The 12,506-nt window shown below is 48.8% G+C and overlaps 1 protein-coding gene across 7 annotated transcripts in view; it reads right to left on the bottom strand.

The window, feature by feature from the left end:
• Positions 1-12,506, bottom strand: part of CUX2 (cut like homeobox 2) — a 316,390-nt gene that overhangs the window by 137,137 nt on the left and 166,747 nt on the right. The window lies entirely within an intron of this gene.

The following is a 12,506-nucleotide window of genomic DNA, read 5'->3' as shown; positions in this document are numbered from 1 at the left end:
CTCACACACATCACAGACAATGTCTGCTGGTCGTGCATGTATATTTGATCACCCCTCTTGAAGCTTTCTTCACTTTAATGGTGGCAGTTTCACAAGGGGAGTACAATTCACCATGAGTTGTCATGGATTTCATTTGCATAATTCAAGAAATGCTCTGTTTATGTGGTCGGCTGCTTCCTTGCACCATCCCGAGATGGGCTTTTTTTCTGGACCATAACTCGAGGAGCATTTCTGTATATATCATCCGATTATATTTGCAGCAATCAAGCCCCATAATTTCCTAAATCCGGTGATGCAATAAATTTCTGCAATCAGATTTATTAAAAACACACACGCAGATGCGGGAGTGTATTTCTAGGGTGAACTCTTTAATCTAACATATGTATGATGAGGCCCGGCACCGTGTTGAAAGACCCCATTTGTCATCACTAATACACATTCCTCTTGCACACACAATGAAACACTTTTGCCATTAGATAATGAAATAAAAGTACTATTAACCCACTGCAAATTCTTTTCCCTCTAAGAGACGAAATGCATGGTAATTGTCTTATATCATGTCTGAGAGTCAGTAAATCTGCTCAATAGCAGCTCACCAGAGCACCATAAACCTGGCACCCCAAGCTGGGATGAGTGTCCCTGACCTATGGATTTCTTTGTAGAAATCCAAGAAGGAACTTCTATTTCTGGAGAAATGTCTAACTTCTTTAGAAAATTATGAGACTAGAAGGGAGAAGGTAGAGGCACCAAAGTAGCTTTGAAATAGAGGCAAGGGCCAGGTGCAGTGGCTCATGCCTGTAATCTCAGCACTTTGGGAGGCCAAGAGTTTGAGACCAGCCTGGGCAACATAGTGAGGCCTCCTCTCTACAAAAAATAGAACAATTACCTATAGTCCAAGCTACTTGGGAGGCTGAGGTGGGAGGACTGCTTGAGCTCAGGAGGTCAAGGCTGCAGTGAGCTGTGATGGTGCCACTGCATTCCAGCCTGGGTGACAGAGAGAGACCCTGTCTCTATTTTGGTGGGGGAGCGGAAACAGGTGCTCTCCAAGGTGCTGAAACCAATTCTTGCCGAAGCACAGGGTACTCCCACTTGAAAGTACATGGGGGCTTCCAGTTTAAAAGCCCGGTTTTTATCAGGATTAAGCCAGGTGAGGAACAAGGTGTTATGAGCAAAAAGGGGGAATTCTGGTTCATCATCACTTAAAACTAATCACAGTTTCTAATACAGAAACTACAACTGACCACAACCGAAATATCCAGTGACAGGAGAGATCAGTGTTTGCAGCAATAGACAAAGGTAGACTGGCGCGGCCAGGTGGACAGAATCTCACTTGGCAGGAGAGAAAAAAACTGGAGGGCCAGGGTCAATTTGAGTTGCAGCAGCGTACTCCCAGCTCTTCTTAGTTTTTCTCATCTCTCTTGAAGACAAAGATGTGATTTTCACATTGCTACAGGACAAACAGAACTGGGACATGGGTTTACAGCTCTCTATCTTGGATTATTGTGTGTCTGACACTTTTTTTTTTTTTTTTGAGACGGAGTCTCACTCTGTCGCCCAGGCTGGGGTGCAGTGGCGCCATCTCAGCTCACTGCAAGCTCCGCCTCCCAGGTTCACGGCATTCTCCTGCCTCCCAGCCTCCCGAGTAGCTGTGACTACAAGCACCCACCACCAAGCCTGGCTAAGTTTTTGTATTTTTAGTAGAGACAGGGTTTCACCGTGTTAGCCAGGATAGTCTCGATCTCCTGACCTCATGATCCACCCACCTCGGCCTCCCAAAATTCTGGGATTACAGGCGTGAGCCACCACACCCGGCCGTGTCTGACACTATGTTCTTATTGCAGGGACACTGGTGCCTTCCCACAATGCAGCAACCAATATACCTGGTGGGGGTGAACTTTGCCTCTCATTAAAAACATCCAGCCCAGGTTCTGAAAGGAAATTGCAGAGCAGGATAAGTCCAACCACCTGATGTGTCCTCACAGACAATTATGCCTGACTCCCTCCACCTGCACCTCCCAGGCTGCTGGTGGGTGCAAATCTGACAGGCAGGATGTCTGCTGTGTCCACACTGCAGAGAGAACAGAGCCAGGGAAGGCAGGGGGATATCACCAGTCCCCTCACCCTGACCCCACTGCAAGCCCAGCCCTTGGTGTCTTTCCTCGAGCAGACGAAGTCACTGACATCCACGTTCTTCTCAATTTTGCCTAAATCTATGCTTGTCCTTCAACCCTGAATTCTTGCCACAGTTCACTGGTAAACACACTAACACCAATAATAATAATAGTAAATACTCATAACTACCATTTATGGAAAGCTTACATGTACCAGGCACTATGCTAAGCTCCTAACATACATCATCTCATGGAACAAACACATTAATGTGTCTTGTCTGTATGGTGATTCAAACAGGGGCTTGGAAATATACTACAGTCAATTCTAATAACTGAGGTGTGGATTATCTCCTTGGTGGATTATAAAGGCATATTTTTTAATGCCCTTCTCTTCAGCGGGCTTCTGCTCTGCGTCTCCATCAGCTGGGGGGTGTTCAGGGCATTTGTTTTAAATGATATGGATGTGTAAAGCTTCAAGTGTTCAATAAATGTTGTCTTTTTTTTTTTTTGAGACAGGGTCTCACTCTTGTCACCTAGGCTGGAGTGCAGTAGTGCAGTCACAGCTCACTGCAGCCTCGACCTCCCAGGCTCAGGCGATCCTTCCACCTCAGCCTCCCTAGTAGCTGTGACTATAGGCATGTGCCATCATGCCTAGCTAATTTTTGCATTTTTTTGGGGTAGAGACAGGGTTTCACCATGTTGCCAGGCTGGTCTCAAACTCCTAGACTCAAGCAATCCACCTGCTGTGGCCTCCCAAAGTGTTGGGATTACAGGTGTGAGCCACTGTGCCTGGCCTTGGCTGATATTAATCTTATGTTTAGATAAACTGACAGCTAAGAAAACACCCCACCAGATCAATGATTCCAAGAATTTTGGATTTCACAGCTCAGTAAAAATTCTGTTTTAAAATGAAAGGAAGACCGGTAGAGTATTGCCAAATGTTACTGTATCAAGCAAAGACATTAAAAACCACTCCCTCCCACCCTAAAAGAAAGGATATTTGAATATCAGCAAAGCAAGAGGGCCAATGACAGCATCGGCACGGGTCTTTCATAATACACACAGCTAAAATTAAAAAGCTCATGGCACTATATCTATTTTGAAGGAATGGAAAAAAATTCTGTCACAAACATAAACCAGCACTGGTCTAAAACTGAGTTTTAGAAAGCATGTCCAAACTACCACACACACAGCTCTGGTAATCAAAAAGAAATCAGGATCTTCTCCTACCCAGCCCCTGCTGGCCCCACCAGCCCCCCAGCCCTGGGGGAGCCATGATTAACACAGCCCCAGACTTTGGGCCAGGCCCAGGCAGGGAGGAGACTCATCTGATTAACTGGCCATCAGCAGCAGACAGACAGCCCGGAGCCCGGCGCAGACCATTCAAATAATGATCATCATAAACAGCCCATTTGCAACTAAAAAGAAATAATTTTAATGAGCCTGAAGCAGATGATAGATGCAGCTGAGGCTCGGGCCAATGTGCAGAGAGAAAGGAGGCCGGGGCTGAGCTGCACCCGGGACCGGGTGCTGCAGGAGAAGCCGGGGGCTTGGAGGAAGGGGCTCTTCTGATGGGATCTGCAGTACCCCCTGGAAGTGCCCACTGCCTAGTGAGAGCCCCTGTCTCTGAGAGGGTTTGCCATTGGTGTGCTGAACAGTCTTGGGACTTAGTCCTCCAAGGCACTCAGAACATATGAGCTAGAAGGAATCCTCAAGGTCGCTCAGGTCACTGCTGTCCAAACTTTGACCACTCATGTCCCTCTGTGTGAATTTTGTCATATTGATATAGCATCTAAAATATGATTAATTAATATTTCTCTTCAAAGGGACTCCTATGGTTCTCTTTTTGAGATATGGATCACTTTAAGTTCCATAGTTCAATGTTAAGCTTAGTGAATTACAAAATTTTTTTTTAGATAGGGTCTTGCTCTGTCACCCAGGCTGGACTGCAATGGCATGATCACAGCTCACCGCAGCCTTCACTTCCCAGGCTCAGGTGACCCTCCCACAGCCTCCTGGGTAGCTGGGACTACAGGCATGTGCTACCACGCCAGGCTAGTTTTTATTTTTTGTAGAGATGGGGGTCTCGCCATGTTGCCCAGGTTGGTCTCGAACTCCTAGGCTCAAGTGAAAGCTTAGTGAATGGTTTACACCTGAGTAAGCACTACCCAGTTCAAGATGTAGAACGTTCACGTTCCTAGTGCCTGTGAAAACTCCCTAGAGTACTCTCTCCTTGTCAGTACCCCCTAAAAGTAACGATGATTTGGACCCTGGCATCACAGACACATTTTTCCTATTCCTGACTTTTACCTAATGACTCCTTCCCTTTTTTTAAACCTAAATAAGTGTATTTAAAAAGGACACTTTCTTGTCACTAGAGAATCATGTACCATAAACAGATGGTAGCCATTAAAACAAAAGTATAACCAAAAACAAATCATTGCTGCCTGTGTTTGTTATAAAAGGTTAGCAAGTGCTGGAGGGGTGTTAATGCAGTCCCCTACAGAGACTTTCTGCTTGTTGGAATGAAGAAGGGTGGAAGAGATAAGGCAGAACTGTTCCTCAGAACCCAAGTCAATCCCTTCTAACACTGGCTCTACTGAATGCTTACAATTTCATGTCCCGTCAGTGGGTATGTGTCCCACACTTCAGTAAATATGAATCATATCTGAGTCTCCCATTTAAAGATGAGAAAACGGAGGCACAGATACTTTTGGTTACCCACCCACATCACACATAGTTAAGAGGTTGGATTTTCTCAGAGGGGAGGGTGGGTCTTGGCTAGGGAAGGATCCTATGGTTGGTTATCTATGGGGAAGCAAGTCTAGCATTCTCAATTCGTCTGGGTTTCCCCAACCAGGAGGGACTGGGAATTTTACAAGAACACTTAGTTTTTAAAGTAATTTCACACCTGATCCCAAAGTGTCAGCTATATGAAGAGCCTTGGGCTAGAATCTGTGTTCTTATGAGGGGAACACATGTTAAGACACAACCTGAGATCCCGCCTATCTGTGCCCACAATCTTCTCAGCTCCAAGGACACCTCACACTCAGACATATCCCCCTAAGGCCACCTCCGAGAAGAAACCTAAAAAGTGATTGTTGGGAGCTGGGTTTAAGGAATTGAGGACCTCAGTTGTTCCTAGGCTTTAAAGAGATTCCATGAAGACAAACAATCTCTTTCTCAGTATGTCCCTCCTGGTTTAAAACCTGGCCTAGGACAATCTCCTCACTCCTGGGTGTCCCTGGGTCCCTCCCACTTCCCCTTCTCCTTGTTTCCTTCCCAGCTGGACCAAATTCCGTGCAGAAACCGAAATGCACCAGAACCTTCTGACTCCGTGGTTCCACAGTCTCCTTTCCCTCAGCTCAGATGAACTCATTCTGTCTTTGTGGTTGATCTTACTCATCTCTTTGTGTGTCAGCTTAAATGTCTCCTCTTCCAGAAAGGCTTCCCAGACACCCCTCCAAGTTAGGTGTCTGCTTTGAGCCCCTGTTAACTCTTTCTGATATTTGCTACCAGATTTTTTTTAAGCCCTAGAACATTTACACAGAAGTTCCTTATAGGAAACAATAGCTCATAGTTAACATTTATTGAGAGTCTATTACACCATATATACTAATATTTATTGAGTGCACTAAGCACTTTATGTACAGTATCTCTTGTAAGGATATGTATGTGAAGTGATGGTCGAGATTCCAGGCCAGGTTTCAGAAACAAAGATGAGCAGTGATTATGACTTCCAGTACAGTCACCAACCCCCCAAATCCAAACAGGGGCTCTGCTTTCACCTTACTACAGGGGGATGCAACCGAAGATGTTGGACCTCATCTGTCCACCCACTCATCTACCCATCCACTCGTCCATCAATGCATTCATGGTCTCTGATGTGCTAGGCATTTCATAAGGAGGATGGAAATGATAAGCCCGATATAGCCTGGATCCTCCAAGAGCTCAGAAACCAGACAAGCTTGGGTATAAGTAATTTTAGTGAAAGGTGACAAAGGCCATCATGCAGAGACATTATCTTTAGTGCAGGCTTGGAGAAGAGTGAAACCCTAACATGTCTTTTGTATTGCCTTTGGGTGGGTATGGAAACTGATCAGGCAAAGGAGAGGTAGAGCTTCAATCTACCTCTTCTAATTAAATCATAGTGTGGTCCCAAGTTGGGCAGGGGCTGCCAGTAACCACTGAAGTGCTAACCAGGCTGGAAGCCCTTTATCCAACATCCGTCCAACTACCCAACCACCATCCATTTATCCATTCATCTAATCATACATCTATCTACCCAACTAATCATCCATTTATCCATTCATCCAGACATACATCCACCCATCCAACCACCATCCATTTATGCATTCATCCAATCATACATCTATCTACCAAACCATCCATTTTCATCCAGTTATACATCTACCCATCCAACCAACCATGCCTTTATCTATTCATCCAATTATATGTCTACCCACCTAACCAACCATCTATTTATCCAACAGTTGATCATCTAGAAAAGGATCATCCATTCATCTATTCACCCAACTGATCTTGTCCAGCATCCAGGTACCCAATCACTCAAGCAGTCATCCATCCTTGGGTGGATAGGTGGGTTAGTTATCTAACCCCATCCAATCAACCATCCAACTAATCACTGGCCCAATTCTGTGTCAGGCACAGTGCTAGGTACTGGTGTACAGAAACCAACCAACACAGTCTCTGTCCTTGAGGAGTTCACAGTACAGTGTGGTAGACAAGGAGAGCCATTCTAACACTATGTGCCGACATACACTATGAGAAGTATAAAAACAGTATGACAGGAACACAGAGAGCAAGGTTACTTACTGTGATTGGGAAAAAGAGTTGCCAAGATAGGACCATCTGACCTGTGTCTGGAAGGATGAAGAATCTGTCAGATAAAGAAGCCAAGCAACCCAGGCAGAGGAAATGGGAATGTTGCAAAAGCCCTTAACTTTTTTTTTCTTAGACAGGGTTTTGCTTTGTAGTCCAGCCTGGCGTGCAGTGGCACAATCCTGGCTCACTGCAGCTTCAACCTCCCATGCCCAAGCAATGCTCCCTTCTCAGCCTCCCAAGTAGCTGGGACCATGGGTGCAAACCACCACACCCAGCTAATTTATTTTTTGTAAAGACAGGGCCTTGCTATGTTGCTCAGGCTGGCCTCAAACTCCTGGGCTCAAGCAATCCTTCTGCCTTGGCCTCCCAAAGTGCTTAGATTACAGGTGTGCACCAACTACACTTGTCCTGGTCTTCCGGTTCTTGTCTTGAGTTTTCTTCTCCTTAACATGTATCACTACCAAATACACTGTGTATTTTACTTCTTTACTAAAATGAAAGCTCCATGAGAACAAGATATCCTCAGTGCCTAGAAGAGTTCCTGATACACAGTAGGCATTCTAGAAATGTTTGTTGGTCGAATGAATGAGTGAATGCTATGTGTCAAGGCCAGAGACCCCTAAAGAGCCCGGTCTGTCTGGGAAACAGTGACATGGTTCACAGACCACTGACCTGGGTTCAAACGTTGGCTTTGATGCCTCACTAGCATTGTGACCTTGGATAGGTGACTCAGCCTCCGTTTCTGTGTCTATAAAATGGGGCTAAGAATTCGTGCCCATAGGGTTGTCAGGACCCCTTGAGAACCAGACTGTAAGCAGGTCAAGTGCTTGGCTTGGTGTCTAGGGTCTTCAGAGTGTTGACAACCACCAATGGCACACAGTCCCTCAAGGGTGGGGGCTGTGTGCATGACTGGGTGATACAGTTCTTGTTCACAGCTATCCAGGGGTTCTAGTTCAACGCCTGGTGCACAGTGGGCATTCAATAAATATTTGTGGAATGACTATTAGTGGAGTAAGTATGAGAAGCCCCTTGTGGCGGGGGGATGGAGGGACAACTTTGTGGGAGCAAATGTCCTATTCTGCATCTTGGGCCCATGGAGGTCCTTCAGGATTTTGCTATCAGAGTTGCCGGCAAACACTGAGGAGGGCTTCAGGGGATGTTCAGAGCAAAGGGACTTGTTCTATCTACTGCGGGGCAGGTTGGGAGTGTCGCCTTCAGAGGGGCCTCAGAGGGCCAGCTCTGGGAGGGGGCTGGGGGATGACCCGGGATGGAGGGCACCCGCCGGCCTGCCATAAGTGAGGAGACAAGACAAGACAAGACGGATGGCTCCGCAGCCCGCCGAGATGGATAACTGAGCCGTGGCTGGGAGACAGCCCGGGTTACCAGAGCCATCCATCACTCCCTGCGCCGTATGTAAATTTCAGATGCCAAGATGTATTGGGCCAATTATCCGAGGCCAGGGCAAGGGGTGGTGCCTATGAGAAACAGTTCCCAGCCAAGCTGGCTTCCCCGCGTTCTATCAGCTGGGCCAGGGTGATGGACAGTTCACATTCGGATCAAAGAGCCAAGCCTCAGGCCTGTGTGTGAGCCAAAAGACTGCCAACAACTTCTTAGCAAACTCCCAGTGCTGTGAGAACAGCAGGATAACAACTGCCCCATAGAGGGCTGGCTGTCGACTAGGTCCACAATGACCAGCACTACAAAAGTTCATTTCCCTCTCCCAGTGGCATCTAGAGTGCAGTGGATTCTCTAGAAACATCTGTTGAGGGAGCCAATGAAGGGTCTTAGGATGCAGGTGTCATCTGATGCACGGTACCTGCAGAGAGACAAAGCCACTCGTCCCACATCACACGGCGAGGAAGTGCCATCATGGGGACCCGAACCTATAACTTTCTGATTTTCCTCTGGGTTGTTTCCCTGGAGGACAATCTTTCCCTAAACTGTCTCTACAAGGTCTGCCGTGGCCTGAAGACCAGGAGCATGACCAGGCCTGGTCCATCTGTCTGTCCATCCACCCATCCATCTATCCACTCAATAACTACTTTTTGTGTGCCTACAGTGTTACCAGGGACAAGACAGACCCAGGTCCTGCGCACATGGAGCATGTGGTTACATGGGGAGCACAACAGGCAATTACAACTGTGGGACATCAGGCCCACCTGGCAGCTCCGTAGCTCAGGCTTCCAGAAAGCCCAGGCAGTGGTTGGTTTTTTAGTTTGAGGCAGGCCAAGAGCCAGCATTTGGCAGGCAGACTAGGTTCAGGTCCTGACCTTCTTGCTTGCCAGCTCTGTGAGCTTAGGCAGACCTGTGGCCTCTCTGTATCTAGGACTCTCACTGCTGCAAAATGCAGCCAGGGCATCACCTCTCTCTGGGGACTGGCAGGACGACAGGCTGGTGGACTGCAGGGGTTCCAGGCTATGGGAGGTGCCTGGGAAGGGCTGGATGCTTTGGGCCAAGGCTGGCACTTGGGCTGGGGCTGCCACCAGCCCTGAGGCCCTGGGAGTTGGGAGGCAGCAGCTGCTCCGCCTGCCTTAGGTATCATCAGGCTGATGTAAATTGGCAAATCTTGTCAGCCTGATCTAACAATTTCTCCTCCTCTCTACTGTTGCCACCTGGGCCAGGCCACTGTCATTGCCTGCCTAGGTGACCACAGGAGCCTCCTCACTGGGCTCTCTACTGGCACTTTCACCCTCCTACAGCCCCTTCCCCACTTGGCGGCCACAGAGATCCTGTTAAACCCAACTCATATCCTGTTCCTCCTCTGCTCAAAACCCTTCCATGGCTCCCATGTGAGTCTGAGTCAAGGTCCCATATGATTCGTGTTGGGCTTCACTTCCTTCTACACCCTCCGGCCCACTCTGCTCCAGGCACATGGGTCCTTCTTGACTTTTTCTTTTTTTTCTTTTTTTTTTTTTTTGAGAGAGAGTCTTGCTCTGTCACCCAGGCTGCAGTACAGTGGCACAATCACAGCTCACTGCAGCCTCAACCTTCTGGGCTCAAGCGATCCTCCCACCTCAGCCTTCTGAGTAGCTAGGACTACTGGCGTGCTCCACCACGTGCAACTAACTTTTTATTTTTTTGTAGGGACAAGGTCTCACTAAGTTGCCCAGGCTGGTCTTGAACTCCTGGGCTCAAGTGATTTTCCTGGCTCAGCCTCCTGAAGTGCTGGGATTACAGGAGTGCACTACTGCACCTGGCCCTTACTGATTTTTTTTTTTTTTTTTTTTTTTGAGACAGAGTCTCATTCGGTTGCCCAGGCTGGAGTGCAGTGGCATGATCTTGGCTCACTTCAACCTCCGCCTCCTGGGTTCAAGTGATTCTCCTGCCTCAGCCTCCTGAGTAGCTAGGATTACAGGCGTGTGCCACCACGCCCAGCGAATTTTTATATTTTTAGTAGAGATGGGGTTTCACCACATTGGCCAGTCTGGTCTCTAACTCCTGACCTCAAGTGATCCGCTCACCTTGGCATCCCAAAGTGCTGGGATTATAGTCGTGAACCATGGTGCCCAGCCCTTATTGATTCTTGAACACACTAAGCACGTTTCTGTCTCGGAGCCTTTGCACTGGCTGCTCCCTCTTTCCTCACCTGCTCGGAGGCTTAGCTCTTATACCACCTTCTCCCAGAAGCCTGTCCTGCCGTCCTATTTAAAACAGTAAGCACCTCCTCTCTACCTCAGCCGCCCTCTGCTTATTTTTCTCCCAAGCCCTTGCCGTTGACACATTTATGTAGTCACTTCTCCATTTGTTTATTGCCTGCTTTCCCTGCCCGCCTCCTGCCCCCTCCAATGTCAGCTCCACAAGCACAAGGACTTTGTCCGTTTGGGTCACTGCTGTGTCCCGATGCTTGGCACACACTAGGTGCTCAATACTTTGAATTAATGAATGAACAAATGAACAGATGAAAGACTGGCTAACTCTGGGTCCCCAATCCCACCCGTCACCCCCATCAGTCCCCTGCCACAAGCATCAGGCAGGAAAACAAGCCTGCTCCTGTGCAGGCGGGACCTGGAGGTGGCTGTCCTTGAGAGAGGATGCCAATCAAACGCCTAATTATCTTGTCGGCAAGCCCCGAAAACCAGAGCCACATCCGATCACTTCCTCCTGCCCTTGATTGCTGATTTATATTCCGGAGTTCTCGGAATTTAAAACCACACGGGCACCAGGAAAACAAAATAGCCCCCACTCTGACAGGTGTCAGGTGAGGGGCTGGGGACCCCTTGTGCCCCTCTTAGGGCTGACACGTCTGGTCCAACTGGGTGAGAGGCCAGAGAGTGCTTCCCCCGGCAAAATGGGGGCAGGGGAAAGGGATCCCACAAAATGATCATTCACTCATTCATTCGTCAATGAATGTTTACTGAGCACCTACTACATGCCAGGCTTTTGCTAGGGGCCACAGTGGCAATGACTCACATCACAGAAGCTGAACGCCTACTGCATGAGGGCACTTTTAACGCCTTGGCCCACTGCATCTTCTGGGAGGTCTGTGTTCCTAATAATTCCTTTTGCAGCTGGGAAAACGAGTCCCTGAGAGATCATGTCACTGCCTCAAGGTCACAATCAGGCAAAAGCAGAGCTGGGCTTTGAACTCTGGTCCACTCTTCTCCAAACCACTGCATCCTCTCTGAAGTCTGCCACTTTCAACATCTTTTCTCTAACTCATTTCTTGCAGCAGCCTCTTTTTCAAGGTTGGGAGCATCTGGGGGTGGGAAGAAAGTCTGTGGGAACCTCAGGAAGCTCTGGAAAAATTCTCTGGCATGCAGGGCTGAGAAGGTGCCAGGTGCAGGGCTGAGAAGGTGCCAGGTAGGGAAGCATTTATTAAGCGCCCACTGTATGCTGGGTAGGGTTCCGAGAGCCTTGGGCTCTGGGGAGGACTGGGGAGGACTGCCACACAAATATGCAGGCGTAGTCCCAAGAAAAGCACACCTGGAGAGAGCTGCGCCTAAGGGCACGTGGGGCCTGGGGGAAGGCACTAGAGGAGGAGGGAGCTGTGGGCATGAGTGGGGCTGGAACCGTCAGGCTGTTGGGGAATGGGTGACCATCTGGATGTATCTTACAGCCTCGTGGGGATTAGGTTGGGAAGTTGTGGGACCAAGGCAAGAAGCGATTGGGAGCCAGAGGGGTTGGCTGAGCAGAGGTGCCACCCCCACCTCCAGGCAGCTGCAGGGAACCGTGCGGGCAAGAGACTGAGCCTAGAGGCTGGCAGAGCAGACACACCATCCCCTGCTACCAGCGGAGGGGAAGGTGGGTGGAGGCATCAGGCAGGAGAGGGCGCTGATGGATTTCAGGGACTGGCAAGGAGCCAATGCCTCCCAGCAACTAGAAGCCCCGGCCAGGGAGGCTGAAGGTGAGATTGAGAGGGGAGGCCCTCAAACGAGGGGCGGCCAGGGTGGTCACAAGCCATTTTAGCCCAGGGGCTACACAGGCTTGTCCCCTGCCTGCTGTTGACTTTGCCGAGTGCCTGACCTCCCCCTGCCCCACTATTGTTTAAATGAGAGCAAGGATGCCTCGAGGGTTTACGGAGAGGCCCAGCAGAAACCAGTAGATGCAATT

Source organism: Homo sapiens, chromosome 12, assembly GCF_000001405.40.
Source record: "Homo sapiens chromosome 12, GRCh38.p14 Primary Assembly".
Taxonomy (NCBI): domain Eukaryota; kingdom Metazoa; phylum Chordata; class Mammalia; order Primates; family Hominidae; genus Homo; species Homo sapiens.
This window is presented reverse-complemented; position numbering and strand designations above follow the sequence as displayed.